The sequence below is a fragment of the Homo sapiens genome, chromosome 6 (assembly GCF_000001405.40).
Source record: "Homo sapiens chromosome 6, GRCh38.p14 Primary Assembly".
NCBI lineage: Eukaryota > Metazoa > Chordata > Mammalia > Primates > Hominidae > Homo > Homo sapiens.
This window is the reverse complement of record NC_000006.12, coordinates 156565498-156585404: the sequence shown is the minus strand read 5'-3', so window position 1 is coordinate 156585404 and position 19907 is coordinate 156565498. Positions and strand designations below refer to the sequence as shown.

Below are 19907 nucleotides of genomic sequence, written 5' to 3'. Positions count from 1 at the left end.
ACATGAATATTATTTTATTTTATGAATGTACCACAATCTGACTTATCAATGATTGCTAAACATTTGACTTGTTTCCAGTTTGAGCTACGATGAACACAGCTGCTATAAACACTTAACTATAGATGTTTGTGTGGCCATAAGTTTTCATTTCTGTTGGGTAAAAACCTAGGAGAATTGCTGGGCCACGTGGTAAATGTATATCTACCTTTAAGAAACTGCAGAACAGTTCTGCAAATTGGTGGTACCATTTTGTCTTCCCCCAGGCAGTGTGTGAGAGTTCTAGTTGCTGTTTGAAATGGTTTCTGATGGAGGCATAAAGAGGAATAGATGAGTTGTTTTTTTTAATGTTTAATTTTTGTGGGAACATACTGGGGGTATATATTTATTGAGCATATGAGATTTTTGATACAGGTGTATAATGTGTCATCACATCAGGATAAATGAGGTATTGATCACCTCAAGCATTTATCCTTTGTTTTACAAACAATCCAATTTATGCCATCTTAGTTATTTTAAAATCTACAATTATTATTGACTCTAGTTATCCTGTTATGCTATCTACTAAGTTATTCTAACTACTTTTTTGTACCCATTAACCATCCTCCCTTCCCCTCACCCCCTTATTACCCTTCCCAGCCTCTGGTAACCATCTTTCTACTCTCTATCTTCATGAATTCAACTGTTTTTTTAGCTCCCACAAATAAGTGAGAACACGAGAAGTTTGTCTTTCTGTGCCTGTTTTATTTCACATAACATAATGATCTCTAGTTCCACCATGTTGCAAAAGACAGAATCTCATTCTTTTCTATGGCTGAATAGTACTCCATTGTGTATATGTACTATATTTTCTTCATCCATTAATTTGTTGATGGACACTTGGGTTGCTTCCAGATCTTGGCTATTGTGAACAGTGCTGCAATAAACATGGGAGTGCAGGTACCTCTTTGATAAACTGATTTCCTTTCTTTTGGGTATATATCCAGCAGTGGGATTGCTGGATCATATGATAGCTCTACTTTTAGTTTTTTGAGGAACCTCCAAACAGTTCTCCATAGTGACTCTACTAATTTACATTCCCACCAACAGTGTAGGAGGGTTCCCTTTTCTCCACATCTCACCAGCATTTGTTATTGCCTGTCTTCTGGATAAAAGCCATTTTAACAACGGTAAGATGACATCTCATTGTAGTTGTGATTTGCATTTCTCTGATGATCAGTGACGTTGAGCACCTTTTCACGTGCCCGTTTGCCATTTGTATGTCTTCTTTTGGGAGATGTCTATTCAGATCTTTTGCCAATTTTTAAATTGGATGACTAGATATTTTCCTATAGAGTTGTTTGAGCTCCTTGTATATTCTGGTTATTAATCCCTGGTCAGATGGATAATTTGCAAACATTTTCTCCCATTGTGTGGGTTGTCTCTTCACTTTGTTCATTGTTTCCTTTGCTGTGGAGAAGCTTTTTAACTTGATGTGATCCCATTTGGATGAGTTGTTTTTTCATAGGAAAATGTGTTCACCTCTAGGGATGAGTTGTTGGCGGTGATCAGGGCTGGTGCTCAGCATTCTCTGAGACTGTCTCTGAATGGGGTAGCCCCCTGGGAGTTGTACCTTCCTTACCACTGCAGAGTCCGCTTACAGGTGTTTCTCCGTCCCTGCACTGAGAGCTGCTTGAGGATGGGGGCCAGGTCTTAGTCATCTCCGCAGTCTCAACTCCCAGCAGAGTCTGGGACAGCATAGGTTTCAACATGTGTTGTTGAATTGAACAGCAAATCTCTCCAGTGGCCAGGATGTTGTGAGGGGAGGGAAAGCTCAGGTGGGTGTGGCCTACTCCTTTACGTCTCATTTTCTGTGGCGGTGAAGGCACCAATGGTCATGAATTTCATCTAAAAACACAATAAATTGAAGCACAGTGAAGGGTATCAAGGCGGTGGGAAGGTCCTGCTACAGACAGAGTATGAAAACTGTTGAAAAACATAAAAATCAACATATTATGATTTTAAAAATGAAGAGTTATGAGGGGCTTGTTTGTAATACCATACCTGAATTGCCTCGCCTCACACGTGGGCCTGGATGTGGGTGGGAGGGGAAGGCAGTGTTGGAATTTTTAGCTGCTGCCTCATTTTCATTTGGGCTGAAATGCTCTGAACCCCATGAGGCATGCGTGGTGAGAGGTCCTGATTCACGGTGCTCCTTTCTGCAACATCAGTGATCCTGCTTCTAAACCATTCCTTGTCCCCGTCTTTCTGTTTGTTGTTGTGGTTTAGCTGGGGAAAGTAAAATGTCTAATTGAAGAAAGTGGGCAGGTCACTCCTTCTTAACCAAGTCATCCAGCTGCTGGACTCTCCTAGAGATGTTTCCATTTAGCAGGGAAAACTCTATTTTTCCTTTCTCCTTCCTCACCTCCCCCACCTCCATTTTTATCCCCTAGAGCAAATTCAGGGCCTCTCTGAGTTGGTACCACCTTACATTAATTGGCACTAATGCAAGTATTCACAGCTGTGCGTGGGATGCTTCTGAGTGCAAAATGGATCTGTCTGTGCCTGGGAACGGTTCTTTCACTTCAGGTGTGTAATTTACTCTTCTGTGAGATGCGTTCCCCGGGCTCCCCTGCTGCACCAAGCAGCACCTCAGCTGCCACTACAGAAGAGCTCAGCAACAGACGTTTGCTTATGGTCATAAATCTTAGCAGACACACCTGTACATGACCACAACATGCAGTTATAGAAACAAAGAACTTCCCATCAAGCTGAAACTGATCCAGGAGGTGTGGGTGGCTTGGCAGCAAAGGGGGGCCATTACCAGGAGAGCCCAGGTGACCGTGGAGGAGCTCAGGGAGCACCCTAGAGGCGGCTGGGGCTTGGGCACAATGAGCTTTGGTTAAGAGAGACTGGGATTCAGAATTGCTGTCTGCTCTCATAAGCCCTGTGATTGTAGGCAACTTACCTTAAATTTCTGAGCTATGGATTTCTCAAATGACACTCTTGGAACTTAGATCTATCATCTTAAAATTTATTTTCTATTTATCTCACTTGTTTTATGTTCCTTTTCTTCTCCTTGCTTGCCCATTTTTTGGATTATTTATGTATTTAAAAATTATTCATGGCTGAGCGCAGTGGCCTATGCCTGTAATCCCAGCACTTCGGGAGGCCAAGGTGAGAGGATCGCTTGAGCCCAGGAGTTCGAGACCAGCCTGGATAATGCAGTGATACCCATCTCTATTAAAAAAAAAAAAAAAGCAGCTGGGTGTGGTGGCACATACCTGTAGTCCAGCAACTCTGGAGGTTGAAGTGGGAAGATCGCTTGAGGCCAGGAGTTTGAGGCTGCAGTGGGCTATGATCATGCAACTGCACTCCAGCCTGGGTGACAGAGAAAACAAGAAACGAAAATATTATTCCATGTCCCATCTCTATCAGCTGTTAAGTTATACCTTCCTTTACTGGTTATCCAAGGACCAAGAGATGACAATAGCACTACCTTATTAAAATTGAATATAAAGTTGCACATCTGTCTATTCCTGGACAATGCACAGACCCCAAAAAGTTTGACTCTATTTACCTTCAATCCTGCCTTTTGTGCAGGATTTAATTCTAAATATATATAAGACCTCACAAAATATCAGTCATTATTGACAACCAGTATTCTTTTAGATTTACCCGTGTAGCCATCCTTTCTCTTGTTCTTCGTTTCTTTCTGTGTGTGGTAGACAGAACAATGGCCCCCACAAAGACGTCTCATTCTAATCTCTGGAAACTGTGAATATGTTAGGGGGAATAAAGGTTCCAGGAGGAACTAAGGCTGCTCATCAGTTCGAGGGATTATCCTGGGCCGGCCCAATTAATCATCACTAGGAGACTTAACTGTGTAAGAGGGAGGCAGGAGAGGAGAAGGAGAGATGGCAGTGTGAGAAGGCCTCAGCCCGACATTGCTGGCTTTAAGGATGGCGGACAGGACCTTGATCCAAGGAACACAGGAGACCTCTAGACCCAGCAAAGTCAAGAAACAGACTATCCCCTGGAGTCTCCAGAAGGGAATGCAGCACCGTGGACACAGATTTTAAAGCTCAGTGAGAACCATGTCAGACTTCCAATCTCCAGAGCCGTAAGATAATACACGCACATTGTTTTAAATTATGATGTTTGTGGCCATTTATTACAGCGGCAAGTGGGAACTAATACTCTATATCTCTGTTTTCATGCAGAATCATTTTGCTTCTATCCGAAGAACTTGTTTTAGTCATTTCCTTTAAGAAAATGTGGGGCTGTGGTAATGAATTTTGTCAGATTCTGTTTGAAAATGTCTTTCTCATGCTTTCATTTCTTTGGTTTGCAATTTTATTGATTTCTGCTCTTAATTATTTCCTTTCTTCTGCTTATGTTGGGTTGAATTTGCTTTTCTTCTCTAGTTTCACAAAATGAAAACTTAGAGTATTGATTGAAAACCTTTCTTCTTCCCTCATATAAGCATTTAATGCTACAAACTTCTCTCTAAACAATGCTTTAGTTGCTTCCAACAAATTTTGATATACTGTAATTTTGTTTTCATTCAGTTCAAAATATTTTCTTATTTCCTTTAACACTTCCTCTTTGACTCATGGGTAATGTAGAAATGTGTTGTTTATTTCCAAATATTTTGGAGTTTAACAGAAATCTTTCTGTTACTGATTTCTAGTTTAATTCCATTATGGTCTGAGAATATACTTTGTATGATTCCTATTCTTTTAAATTTGTTAAGGTTTGTTTTATGGTCTGAATATGGTCTCTCTTAAGGAATGTACACTTGTAAACAACGTGTATTCTGCTTTAGGTCAATTTGATCAATAGCGTTGATCAGCCCTATATTCTTACTGATTTTCTGTTTACTTGTTCTGTTGATTCCTGAGAGAGGAATATTGAAGTCTCCAACTATAATTGTAGATTGGTCTGTTTCTTCTTTCAGTTTCATTGTGTTTTGTTGTAATTCATGTAATTTGAAGCTCTGTTGTTAGGTCAATTTAGGGCAGTTTTGTCATCTTGGACTATGGACTTATTTATCATTAAATAAAGTTCTTCTTTATTCTTAATAATATTCCTTGTTCTGAAGTCTACTTTGATATTGATATAGCTACTCCAACTCTCTTTTCATTAGTGTTTGTCTATCTTTTTTTTTTTCATTTTCTAAGAAACTATTTTTGTATTTTTGCTTAAAGGAAGTTTGTTGTAGATATAATGTGGACAGGTCTTGCTTTTTTATCCAATTTGTCAATTTTGTCTTTTAACTGGTGTGGTTGAACTGTTCACATTTAATGCGATCACTGATATATCTGTATTAAAATCTATCTTGTTAGCCATTTTCTATTCGTTCCATCTGTCTTTGTTTTTATACTTATCACTTAAGAGATGTCACTCCATTATCTTTTAGCTTGTGTGAATTCTGATGTGAAGGCTGTTTAATTCTTACTTTGTTTTCCTATATATAATGTGTCTTATTTCTCTGGCTGCCTTTGAGGTTTTCTCATTGTCTTTTGTTTTCAGCAGTTTAAATATATGTGAAGGGTGTGTATGTATATATATGTGTGTGTGTGTGTCCTCATTTTTCTTTTTGTTTTCAGTTTGGGTAATTCCTATGAACCAGCATCACTGCTTCACTCCTTAGCTGGGTCAAATCTACTGATGAGGTCATCAAAGACTTTCTTCATCTCTGCTACTTTTTGTTGTTGCTGTTGCTGTCATTTAAAAAAAATTTCTAGCATTTGCTTTTAATTCTTTCTTAGAGTTTCAGTCTCTCTGCTGAAATTGCCCATCTGATCTTGCCTGTTGTCTACCTTCTCCATTAGAGCTTTTAAAATATTAATCACAGTTATTTAAAATTTTCTATTAGGTAGTTCAAACATCCCCATCACAGTTGAGTCTGGTTCTGATGAGTGCCTTGCCTCTTCAACAGTGTTATTATATTCTTGCCTTTTCACATGCTTCTTCACTTTTTGCTGAAAGCCAGGTATCTCATATATGCAGTAAACTAGGGTCAATCATTTTGCAGGCTGGGATGAGCACACTTTTGGTTCCTGCTGGGCCTTTGTGCTGGGATGTGAAATAAGCTAGTTAGGGATGAGGTTGGACTGAGGTATGTTGTTGCTATGGTTAACTTCAGTGCATCACAATCCTTAAATTTCTCTAATGACACCTACTGTTTAGAGAAGGGGCAGATTTGCCAGAGGGTTTTTCCTTCAATGTGTGTTCCATGCTCATTTTTAAGTCTTCTTCTTCCTCTTTTTCTTTTTTCAGAAAAAGTCTGTTTATATGCTCTTGTCCCTCTTCTCTCCCTGTCCCAGGAGTTCTACACTCTCACCTGTTATTCAATGCTAGTTAGCCTTGTAGTAGTGGGATAATGGGGGGGAATATTCTCTGTTGTTCTGATTGAACCTCAGTCTTAGATGGGCACTATGTTCCTAAGACTCAATGACCCTGCTCCTCTGCTGGCTGTAGTGCTGGACCCAGCACATATTTCTTACTCCCCTCTCTCCTCATAGTGATAGGGTATTTTTTTTTTCTGGTTCTCTTCCACCAGCTGCAATGTATTTTCACTGGTGCCCTAAGGAAAATAGTGTTTGTTGCCCTTCCCTGCACAGATTAAGGATTTATTTCAGACAGGTGATAGAAGAGAAGACTGTGGATGGATTTTGCACCCCTCCCATTGTGTTTGCTCTTCTTTTCTCCTGTTTTACACCTCAGAGAACACTTTCATAGGGCCCTTTTCAATTTTTGTGAGCTCCCAGTGGGGTCCCTGGAAAAAAAGCCTGAAGAAGGGACAGATTCTCCAATTTCTTTTTTTTTTCTTTTTTGAGATGGAGTCTCACTCTGTTGCCAAGGCTGGAGTGCAGTGGCGTGATCTCAGATCACTGCAGCCTCTGCCTCCTGGGTTCAAGCGATTCTCCTGCCTCAGTCTCCCGAGTAGCTGGGATTACAGGCATGCTCCACCACATCTGGCTAATTTTTATAGTTTTAGTTGAGATGGCGTTTCACCATGTTGGCCAGGCTGTTCTTGAACCCCTGGCCTCAAGTGATCTGCCCACTTTGGCCTCCCAAAGTACTGGGATTACAGGTCTGAGCCACCACACCCGGTCAATATTCTCCAATTTCTTTGACTCATAGGGGCTTCACACACTTGCCAGTGCATGCTCAGCTTTCAGCAATTTACTAACTATGTTAGCTGAACTGCTCTTACAAGCATACACTTGTGTCCACCTCGGGGAAACCAGTGCTCATATCTCATCTTTCCCTGAAGGTCTTAGATTTATATCTCTTTAGATTTGGGGCCATTTGATTTCTCTGAAACCTGAGTTCTCTGATAGTTTTTAGAAAGTAATGAACTTTCAGATTGTCTAGCTTTTTCATATTAGTGTGGGAGCAATGCTGTTTTCAGCTCTTTATGTCCCCAAGCAGCTTGCTTTCATTTTTATATGGGTAGTTTTGCTGGGTATAAAATTCAAATATAATTCTAAAGTTCGGGAGTTACATTATTTTGGCCCTTTTATGTGATTTTGTTGTCTATTGGTTTCCACTATGTTATTGAAAAGTATATTGTCAGTCTTACTGTTGCTCCTTTGATGGTAATATGCTTTTTTCCCCTTGCTGCTTTAAAAACTGGTTTTATTTTTAAAAACAGTTTTAAATTCATAGAAAAATTGAGGCTGAGCATGGTGGCTCACATCTGTAATCCCAGCATTTTGGGATGCTGATGTGGGAGGGTTGCTTGAGCCCAGGAGTTCAAGACCAGCCTGGCCAATATGGTGAAACCCTGCTTGTACAAAAAAATACAAAATATTAGCCAGGCATGGTGGCGTGTGCCTGTGGTCCCAGATACTCAGGAGGCTGAGGCGGTAGGATTACTTGAGCCCAGGAGGTAGAGGTAGAGACTACAGTGAACCGTGATCATGCCACTGCACTCTAGCCTGGGCAGCAGAATGAGATCTTGTCTAAAAAAAAATATACAGAATTCCCATATACCCTTTCCCCCCATCACACACAGTCTCCTTCACTATCAACATCCTACTTCAGAGTAGTGCATTTGTTAGAATTGATAAACCTGCATTGGTACATCATTGTCACCCAAAGTCCATAGTTTACATTAGGGTTGACTCTTGGTGGTGTATATTCTATGGGTTTTGACAAATATATGATGCCATGTGTCCACCATTACAGTATGATATAAAGAACTGTTTCATTGCTCTAAAAATCCTCTCTGCTGTGCCTATTCAGGCCTCCCTCCCTGCTAGCCTCTGGCAACCACTGATTTTTTTACTATCTCCATCATTTTTCCTTTGCCAGGATGTCAAATAGTTGGAATCATACAGTATGTGGTCTTTTCAAATTGGCTTCTTTCACTCAGTAACGTGCATTTAAGATTCTTCCATGTCTTTTCACGGCTTGATAACACATTTCTTTTTAGTGCTGATAATATTCTATTATCTGGATGTACCACAATTTATTCATTCACTTACTGAAGGACATTTTGGTTGCTTCCAAGTTTTAGCAGTTATGAATAAGCTGCAATAAACATTTGTGTGAAAGTTTTTATGTGCATATAAGTTTTCAATCACTTGGGTAAATATCAAGGGGGCTGATTATTGGATCACATGGTAAGAGTATGTTTAATTTTATAAGAAACTGCCAAAGTGTCCTCCAAAGTATTGTGCCATCTCGCATTCCCACCACTCACAAATGAGAGTTTCTGTTGCTCTACATCTTTGCCAGCATTTGATGTTGTTCTGCTGCTTTCAAAAATGGACTCTTGGGGAAAAGAAGGGAGAATTCCTGGGGTTATCAGGCAATGTCTCTCACTCTCTTTCCTCTCTTTCCTTGAATCAGAAGGAGTCTGTCTCTGAATGTCTGCCCAGAGTTGGGGGAGGGGTGACATAGGCCCTCCCTTGGCCACCATAGGCGGTGTCACACTTGGTTGCACCACAAATCTACTGCCTCTGAGACCAGTGCGGCACCAGGGCTTGCCCAAAGACTGCAGTCCTTGTGGCCTGACTGCCAGTCATATTTATTCCAAGCTTCAGGCCACGTTAGTCAGCTGGTGGTGGAACCAGCTAGGACTCAGTTTCCCCCCACTGGGGTGGAGAATTCCTCTCTCGCCCTGGACTGGTCTGAATGCTCCATCCATAGTCATCAGCAGAATTCTGTCCCGTTTTATGTTCCACTGTGACAGGACAGCACTGAGTTCCGATGTGAAGTCCCACACTCACTTCACTCTCCCCACTCCGAGGATACAGATTTCCTCTCTGTGCTGTGCTTCCTGGGGTTGGTGGAGGGGTGGTGTAGGCAATGCAGGACTGTCTTTCTTACCCTCTTCAATGCTTCATTCACCTGATTTTTTTGTTCTTCTGAGGGTGCTTTCTTGCCCTGATGGTTGTTCAATTTTGTGTTTTGGCCAGGGGATGATTGCTGGAGGGTTCTGTTCAGCCATCTTGCTCCATCTCCTCTACTGGAAGGGGGAAATCTGACAGGATTTCAGTCCACAGGTAAATGATGAGGTATGTGAGTGGCAATAGCGCCCTGTGCTTTGCTATGACCTTCTGAGTGGAAGGGAGTATGACTGCTACCTCACTTCTGTTTTCTGAAGCTAGCACAAAACATCTCTTGTAACCCACATGAATCCATGCTATTCAGGGAAGAAAAGTCTAACAAAAGTAATACCAGCTTGGCCAAGTTTGCATGATACAAATTCATCTCTCACCTGATTATCTCATTCTTCTCTTTCTGAGACTCCAAGTGCAAATATGACACATTTTCTGGCTGTTCCATATATCTTATACTCTATTTTGTACTTTGCATTCTTTTGGTTTTCTGTCCTTCAGTTTATATATTTTCTTATTAACTACCTTCCATTTGACTAAATCTCTCCTTTATCATTTTGAATCTGCTATTAAACACATTGAGTTCTTAATTGTGATTAATTTTTTTCTGTCCAAAAATTTCCTTTTATTCTTTTTAAGTAATTTATAGTTCTCAACTGAAATTGACCATATTCTCATTTATTTTCTTGAATATGTTTATCATTTATTTTCTTGAACATGTTTTTTTCACATCTATGTCATATAATTCTAATACTATATCTTGATCTCTTGTGTCTTCTATTTCTTTTTGTTTCTTTTGCTTTTTGGCACACTCTTGTCTTTTTATCAATTTGCCTATTTATTTGTTTAAAGATAGTTTTTTGGCTATGTTTTGCAGGCTGGTTTTTAACTCCTAGGCATAAGTGATCCTCCTGCCTTAGCCTCCCCAGTAGCTGGGACTACCAATGCATGCCACCATGCCTGGCTTTGCCTAGTTACTTTTGATCAAATTATTATTTTGATTAAGTTTCAATTTGTATAAAATTATTGAGATTATTTTATTTTCCTCTCAAAATTTATTTTTGCTTTTGGTAGGTAGTAAGTATAGGAATTGATCACTTTAATCAGATGTTGAGTTGATTCAAGTTCATCTCCAGTATTTCTAGGGGTTTATATATCTCCATATACTCCTATATAGAAAGGCATATATTTTCCTAGGAGTAACTTTTGAGGGGTCCCAACTAAAAGCATCAGATGTTTAGTAGGACTCTCTTTCTTGGTGAGTGCTATATTCCAATCTTTGCCTCCTCAGCTCTGTGAGATGCCTGAAATCTTTGCTCAGCTTCTTAGCCTCTCTGCTGTTACTTTTAAATAGAAGTGCCTACAGGGAAAGAGTGACGCCAGTGACTTCCTTTCTCTAGAAGGATCTTGGCATTTCAAGTCTTTTCTGTCTTGGTGGTTCTCTGATACCTTTGAACAGAGGTTTCTCAGATTTTGTCCAGGTTACTCTCAAGTGACATTCTTTAAAAATTGATTTTCAGGTTTTGTTTGCTGATATTTAGTTTTAGGGAGTCTAGAAGTTATAGTTCTGAAAGGTGAGCATTTCTGAATTCCAAGCTCTTGCAATCTAAGGTGTGAGTGAAAAAATGCCCTCAGTGAACTTTCTGTGGTTTGGTATTCATTTTAAAAGGTAGTTAGGAGGGTGTTCAAGATGATATTGGTGGGAATGTAAATTAGTACAGCCACCATGGAAAACAGTATGGAGATTTCTCAGAAAACTAAAAATAGAACTACCATACAATCCAGCAGTCACACTACTGAGTTTTAATCCAAAGGAAAGGAACCTGGTATATCAGAGGGACACCTGCACCCCCATGTTTATTGCAGCACTATTCATAAGAGCCAAGATATGGAATCTACCTACATAACCAGCAACAGATGAATGGGTAAAGAAAATGTATATATAGACACAATAGAATACTATTTGTCCTCAAAAAAGAATAAAAGAATGTCATTTGTAGCAACATGGATGGACTTGGAGGTCATTACATTAAGTGAAGGTCATTATGTTAAGGTCATTATGTTAAGCCAGACACAGAAAACAAATATCACATGTTCTCACTCATATGTGGAGGCTAAAAAAGCTGTTCTCATGGGGGTGGTGAGTAGAGTGATAGATTCCAGAGTCTGGGAAGGGTGTGTGGTTGGTGGGAGGATGAAGATAGATTGGTCAATGGGTACAAACATACAGTTTGATAGAAAGAATACATTCTTAATATTTGATAGCCGAGTAAAGTGACTACAGTTAACAATAATGTATTGCGTATTTCAAAGTAGCTAGAAGAAAGGATTTGAAATGTTCCTAATACATAGAAACGATAAATGCTTGAGGCGGTAGATATCCTAAATACCCTGACTTGATCCTTGTGCGTTCTGTGCATGCAAGAAAATATCACATGTACCCCATAAATATGTACAAATATTATGTATCAGTAAAAAAATAAAACGGTAGTTGTATCATGCTGTGGGATAGGAAATTCATGATTAGCACACCCATTTCATAGAGGAAGAAACTGAGGCATGAGCAATTGGAAGCCTGGGGAGTGAGTGACAAAGTTTCAAAAAGAGATGAATAGAATTTGGATAAGTATGCTCCAATCTTAAATTCAGAAAATCTCATACCTTTCGACTTTCTCATAGTTTTTTTTTGTTTGTTTGTTTCATAAGTAAGAAAAATGTTTTAGACCCCTCTTCTCAGTAGTCGCTTGTGTGCTTTGGCTGAGATTTTGCTGATGCTTTGGCTCTCCTGGGTACCATGTCTTTGCATTGTTTAGGTGACTCTTGGATATCACCACATCTGTAGTTCACTGGGGTTGACTTGTGTAGGCCTATGCACAGTAGAAAAATCAGCATCATTGCAAATATATGGAGGGATTCTTACAAGTGATTTCCATTTTCCCTAGTTATACCTCTTCAGATTTTAATTTTGTTGAATTCTTATTTATTTGACTTCCGTGTTGTGTTTTCTCCCTGTCGTCCCCATGTCCTTGGGAGCCATAACCCTAAAAGATGTGTTCCCCTTCCCAACTCTGCATTCAAATCACATTGGTAACTTGGAAATGACCATAGTGGCAGTATTTACACCATGGAAATTGGGAAATCAAGACTTTTATTCCCAGGCAGCAAAGTGTTGAACATTTCCCAGCACACCATGCCCTAATCCCTCCGTAGAACAAGGCACTGTCAACACACGGATGGATGTAGGTCTGGTGTCGCCGAGTGGAGCAGCATCACCGTTGAGTATCACAAATGGTTTAATAATGGAATATCAGCCGTTCTTGTTCATGAAAATCCCTTGACTATTCCTGCTTCCAGGGATCATGAATTTGTTTTTTTTCTTTAGGTTCTAGCCTCTCACGTGGATGGTTGGGAGAGAGCAGGAATGAAGTAATTTCTCTTCTTTTTTTTTTTCTTCAGCATACAGTTTGTGTAATGACAGGGAGCATCAGTCACAGTGTATTGTGTCCCAGAGCATTTGAATCGAGTCCCCTGGCATGGTGTGAGCAGTGGTGTCGAACCCATATCCCTGGTCCCAGCAGTAACATGTTCTCAGATCTGCCTTGATTTTGCAGCATATGGCATTGGGGTACACACTGAACAGAGGGTCACACCGTCAGTATCTCACTAGAGTAGCATGTGTTAGCCTCCGTGTTCCCTGGCAAATCATCACCCGAACTAATGAGAAGACCACTGCTGTTCCTGCTGCTGCCACTGTCGTGGGGTTTCTCTTTGGGAGCTCCTCCAAAGCATCACTAACAGGCCCACCTCTGGGACCAGTATATGGTGAATTATGAAGCTGGGATTTCATTTTTCATGTTGGTTTGCCATGCACAAGAGATGGAATCTTTTCCTATTTTTTTCTGCCTGTAAAATGAATATAATGTTAGTTGGCTTTTCTAATAGCCACAACCACAAATATACATTACTTCTGCTGTGCATAGGTCTACATAAGACAACTCCAGTGAAATACAGATGTGGAGACATCCAAGAGTCACCTAAACAATGCAAAAACATGGTACCCAGGAGAGCCAAAGCATCAGCGACATCTTTTATAACAACCACAACCACCTGGTTTCCTCTTTATAAGCACTCTTAGTGATAATAGCAATAAAATAGTTTTAGCAACTACCTTGGATTGGTCTCTTTCTATTTACCATCACTATCCTGGGTGTTTCACACAAATTACCCCATTTAATTTTTATAAAATCATTATGGAATAGTTGCTGCTACCATCCCAATTTCCAGAGGAGGAAACTAAATCTGCTGAAAGTTTAAAATGATTTGTCCAAGGTATAGAATGTGGCAGATTCAGAATTTGAACTTAATATAGAACTCCAAAACTTGCATTTTTTTTTTTTTTGAGACAGAGTTGTTGCATTGCCCAGTCTGGGGTGCAGTGGTGTGATCTTGGCTCACCGCAACATCCACCTCCCAGGTTCAAGCGATTCTCCTGCCTCAGCCTTCCGAGTAGCTGGGACAACAGGTATGCGCCACCGCACCCGGCTAATTTTTATCTTTTAGTAGTGATGGGGTTTTGCCATGTTGGCCAGGCTGGTCTCAAACTCCTGACCTCAGGTGATCTGCCCACCTCGGCCTCCCAAAGTGCTGGGATTACAGGTGTGAGCCACTGTGCCTGGCCCCAAAACTTGCATTCTTAACCACTGCTTCCTCTCAGAAAAATGAGAGAAAGATGGAAAAGAGTGTACAGTGCTGTATTTTGTACCTCTCAAAGAGGACATATGGTAAACTTGGTGGCCTGCTTTTGGTCCTTGAGTGCTATGGAGCTGTGAGGGTCAGAGGCGCACAGGGCTCCCCTGGGGGCAGTTTAGACATAGTTGCTTTCCTGCTCGCTCCCTTTCCCTGGTTTCTCTCCTGAGTAGGTTTCACAGACAGGCTGCTGTAGCTCCACAGAGAGTGAGGCGCTTCCTGCCAGCTCCGGTCTTAAATTGCAGCACTCCGAGGGGATTAGCACCGTGGAATCGGTGTGCAGACCAGACCCGAGTGCCACAAAGCAAATATTTCACATTTCATGTTAAATCACATCCTAAGACAAGTGTGAAGAATTGGGATTAAGTGAGAAACGTTCATTTCAGGGTTTGAAATGGGGTTTGATTAGGGTGGAATCAACAAGTTCCTCTGCCCTGTCCCCACCTTTTCCTGGGGAGTCTGGACATCTTGTTCTTTGTGTGGGATGTCCAATAGAGGCATCAGGCAGCACACTGACGAGGTGAGACAGGGTGGGCCGGGTGCCTGGAATGTGCTGGTCACACCAGGTTTTCCAGATTCAGGAAAATAAAAGGGGTTTGGGGCTCAAGGAAAGACATTTCTCTGATTGTGCATAAAAATAATCAGGACAAGGACTGAAGGGCAAGGAATAGCAGCAGATGAGTAAATGAAGCATGTACGGGACCAAATCAATATATTCTTAGAGTGACTAAGAGTTGCACAGCCTGGGTGGTATTTCTCAGACTCCTGCCTCTACTCAGGGAGGAGCGGGTGGGGACGAGGCTTTTCTGAGCCTCAGTGTTTGTGGGGGCCGCTCCCCGACAGGTTCGCTTCATGCTCAAATCTCATTCCTGAGCACAGGCGAATTTAACCTCTACTCAATTGGAAGCGAGGGTCCCACTTCCCCTTCGCTCTCCTGCTGAGCAAACCTGACATTTTATAATATACAGATGTGTAAAGGAAACATTGGGTTGTGGTTTCTGATGTGTCTGTTTCTCCTTTGTGAAAACATGGCATGCTTAAGAATGGACATTTTGGAGTAGAGGTTCCGACTTGTTGGATGGAAGTGGCTCCTGCATGGTTTGTGGAATGTCTCAGTCGGAGTCTCTGGTTGCTTCTGGAATCTTTGCGATAACCAACGGGAAGTTTCTGGGGCACAGAAGTTGCTTCTCTTCTCTTCCCACCTCTCCCAGTGAAAGTGCTTTGTAAGTTCTAAGGCAGTGGCTTTCCTAGGGTGGTCCCTAGACCAGCAGCATTGGACCCCCTACAACTTGTTAGAAATGTGCATTCTTGAGTCCTACCTCATAGTACGGAATCGGACATTCTGGGGGTGGGACCAGCATTGTACGTGTCTAACGAGCCCTCCAGCTGATTCTGAGGCAGGCTGGGGTTTGAGAAGCACTGCTGTCAGGCCACGTGACACGGGAGTAGGGTGTTACTTATAATCAGCACTTCAGAGGCAGGAATGATGTGGATATGGGAGAAGACAGACATCTAGATTACTGTAATCTCGTTACTGCTCTTAAATACAAGCATTTAATCATGTTACTCAATTCAGCAAATGCTTTAATAATTATTATGTTTACATTTTAGAATATATTTTAAACTATAGTGTTTGGTCCTCTATGAATCATTCATTCATTCATAGAAACGTATTGAACACTTACTATGTGCCAGGCAATTAGCTAGCCTTTGAGTTCAATGGTTAGCAAAACCAGAAAGTATCTGTTCTTCTGAGATTTTGAGAGTGTGTGGAGGCTGGAGGAGGGACAGACACTAAACAAATAAGCAAAGAAATTTTCGTGGTTATTAATGCCTCAAGAAGAGGTAGAGATAGCAATCCAACAAGAAAATAAATATCAAATGACAAATCTGATACATTCTCGGAAGGAGCAGTATGTGGTGGATTGACAGAGGGTAAGGGACCCTCTTCCTTGCAGAAGTGACTTCTAAACTGAAGTGGAAACTGGTCATTGCCAACACAACCGAGAGGGGAGTGGGGCTCTGAAGAGGGTGAACACAGGGCTGGTGTGAGGAAGCAAGCTTAACTTAAAGAAATGGAAGCAGGGTTTTGAAGCCAAGTTATGGATTTTGGATTTTAATCTAACAGTAGTGAGAAACCCTGTGTATTAGTTAGCACTCATTAGGTAATGCTGTGTAACAAACAGATGCAGAGATCTCCATGGCTCAGTAACAAAGGTTGATTTCTCACTTGTGTTCCGTCTTGACTCTGGGCCAGCTGCAGCTGTGCTCCATGGACCCTGTTCACTGTGGGACCCAGGCTAAAGAAGCAGCTTGAATTTGGGTCATGCCCATCTCGTGGCAGAGGGAGAAGAGGCATGTGCCACCTCTGATCACATCCTTGGGTTAAAGAAAATCCCATGGCAAAACCTCAGCCAGGAGCCTGCAGGGATGGGCAGATAGAGAGGGGCAGCAATAATTAGGATTAGGGCCCCTTCCTGTGGGCTCTTGAAGGTTTTACATGTGCACAGGATTGCTGGTAATGGAATCAGATCTGTTCTGAAAGGTGTAGTGATTGGACTGATGGTAACAGAATCAAATCTGTTCTGAAAGGTGCAGCGATTGGACTGATGGTAACAGAATTAGATCTGTTCTGAAAGGTGCAGCGGTTGGACTGATGGTAACAGAATTAGATCTGTTCTGAAAGGTGCAGCGATTGGACTGATGGTAACAGAATTAGATCTGTTCTGAAAGGTGTAGTGATTGGACCCAAGTGGGTGCAAGAGTAAATAAGTGAGGCAAGAAGAGGCTCAGGTAATGCTCCAGGTGAGGAGATGGTAGTGGGAGGGTGGAGATGCAGAAAGTAGGTCGGAGAAAGAATTTGAAGGCAAAAAGAATAATCTTGGTGACCACTTTGTGGGTGAGGGAGAGTGAATGTCAAGGATGACCCCCCCCCCAAATTTTTGCCTTATGTAGCTGGGTGAATGAGGGCATTGATAAATGGAACACTGGGAATGAGCATGTTTGACAGAAGAATATCATGAATTTGGTTTTGAGTATGTTCAGTTTGAGATACCTTGGAACCATCCATGTGGTTTTACCATGTTAAGTAAGTAGTTGGTTATTTACTAGATTATTTGTAGGAAATTTTTTTTTCCAATTTCTTTTAGAATATTACCTAAAAGTTATACTGAGAGTGACTTTTTTTTTTTTCCTTTTGAGACAGGGTCTCACTCTGTTGCCCAGCCTGTAGAGCGGTGGCATGATCTGGATTCATTACAGCCTCAACCACATGGGCTCAAGTGATCCTCCCACCTCAGCCACCTGAGTAGTGGGTAGCAGGGACTGCAGGCATGTACCAAAATGCCAAGCTAATTTTTATATTTTTTGTAGATATGGGGTCTTGCCATGTTGCCTAGGCTGGTCTGGAACTCCTGGGCTCAAGAGATACTCCCACCTCGGCCTCCCAAAGTGCTGGGATTCCAGGCATGAGCCACCACACCCATCCTTCAGAGTGACTTTCTTAGTGGAAATAACCTTTGTGTTATCATTTTATCATTCTTTTTTTTTTTGAGATGGAGTTTTGCTCTGTCACCCAGTTTGGAGTGCAGTGGTGTGATTTCGGCTCACTGCAACCTCTGCCTCCTGGGTTCAAGTGATTCTTCTGCCTCAGCTCCCCAAATAGCTGGGACTACAGGCGCACACCAACACGCCCAGCTAATTTTTGTAGTTTTATTAAAGATGGGGTTTCATCATGTTGGCCAGGCTGGTCTTGAACTCCTGACCTCGTGATCTGCCCACCTCGGCCCCCCAAAGTGCTGGGATTACAGGAGTGAGCCACTGTGCCTGACCCCATTTTCTCATTCTTAGAATACATAGATATTTAAACATTGTTGATGGGTAACAACTTTTTCCTATTTTTTTTGTCTTAGGTTATTTAATAGAAGGGAAATCACTCTTCCTTTATATTTCTCATTTATTGATACAAGTGTTCCTGCTTAACCACAAACTAGATAATACGCCTCCTTTTCCTTGGTAACACGGTGGGTGGGAGCCGAGGCAATCAAAGTGTAAAAATCAGACAGCATCTCTTCCCGCCACTGTGTCTGCAGACCTCCCAAACTGAGGCACGGTGCTGAACACCTCCAGCATTTTCATATCAGAAAACTGGCAAATATAGTCAAGGACGATGAGCAGCTGAAATTACAAAGGGCTCTTGGACCACTGAGACAGGATTTTTAATCCTTTTAGGATCAGCCAACCTTTTCTGAGTGTTGCTTCATCTTATGTAAATTCTTAGAGTTCAAGAAAATTCAGTATTTAGAATACAAAGCAGGATGGATCCAGGCTTTCTTTCTTTCTTTTTGTTTCTCCTAGTATTTCTATAGTAAATACGGTTTCAGAAAACACCCCATGTGATTTTGAAACACATTTTGGCTGGAATCTTGGCAACACTCGCCCTTCTCCAAGTGATGCCCTTTAACACACTATTGGAGCTATTGGACCGAGATTCAAATCTCGGGGAATGTCAGGTATCTCTGAAACACGAAGGGAAGTGTGGAAGTGCTTGGGGAAAGTGTTATAGTAAAAATCACAGTATTATGTTTTCCCACCTGAACGCCATCCAATAAACTATTTCTCCATTTCGTTCACAACATACCAGGAAATTACTACGCTCAAAATTCTGTATTACTTCTAAGTCCAACAAGCCACAGATACAACTCAACAAGTATGTGTTCATTGGATGTGAGCCCTGGGAGGCCGGTCCTCTTCATCTTGGTCTTCCTCAAAGCATCTGTCACAGAGGCATAAAGGCAGGTACAGGAATGGGTCTTGCTGCATTGGACCTGTTGCCTATGCTTTGGTTTGGGGAGAGAGTATATACCCCTCAAAGGCAGCTTCCACCTGCTGGCCAGTGGGGAAGAGTTTAACATGACCTAACTTAACTCTGTGCTGGCCAGCTGGGCTCTGAAGTCCTAAAACCGAGCTGGAATCCCGACTATGGTTTACCAGCCGTGTAATAACCCTGAGCTGGTTACATGATCTTTAAACCTTCATTTATGCACAGAGCATATGCAGGAGTTAACTGAGGTGATGTACAAAAAGTGTACAGATAACTATTAACAGTCATCTCGATAATGGGAACGCAAGAGAACCTACAGTGTGTGCTTTTGTAAAACATAGGTAGATGTGAGAAACAGCTCACTTGTACAGTCAATCCTTAGTGGCCCCAGGACAGAGGACTTCTGTGAATTATGGCCCCAGGAAACTTCACTGGAATAAAGACATCCAGCCACTGTACCCTTGAGTGCTCTCAGCTGAAGCCGGGACTTTAAAGGGCCTTGGCATACACGGTGGCTTGTTGTCTTAACCTCAGTTGGGATGAGATAGAATATTCACACCCCTGTCCCCAGCTAAGTTTTTATTAACATTGAGACCCCGTGTGTAGAAGAGCTTTGTGACTGGGTGGTATAATCTATGCAAACGTTACCACACGGAGTTGTTTCTTTCTAGTTTGGTTCACCTTCTTTCCGCAGTGGAGCCGCACGTGTGTTTGTTAGGTGGGTTGAATGCCCTTCCTGAGAAGGAAGCATCTCTCCATGTCTGTGTGCAGGAGAGCGATGACAGAAGGCCACTGTCTGTACCCGGAAAAATCCCAGGACAAGGAGGGCAAAGAGCCCTGGATGTGAGTCCAAGATCTGCTGTCACGTTGTATGGATGTGGGCAGGTAAGTGCCGGGCTCAGAGTCCTCATCTGAAAGATGAAGACCAGAGTTGCCCCTCCATTTTGCCTTGCAGCATTTTTCTGGGTATCAAGAACAAAGGTGCAAGAGTCTTATTCATTCAT

General features: G+C 41.7%; 1 annotated feature.

Annotated features, from left to right (window-relative positions):
* Positions 2673-2822: an enhancer, noted in NCBI's record as "active region_25311". NCBI's record gives its function as "activates an Ori minimal core promoter by ATAC-STARR-seq in GM12878 lymphoblastoid cells {active_cell/tissue: GM12878}" and the evidence as "EXISTENCE:reporter gene assay evidence [ECO:0000049][PMID:35858748]".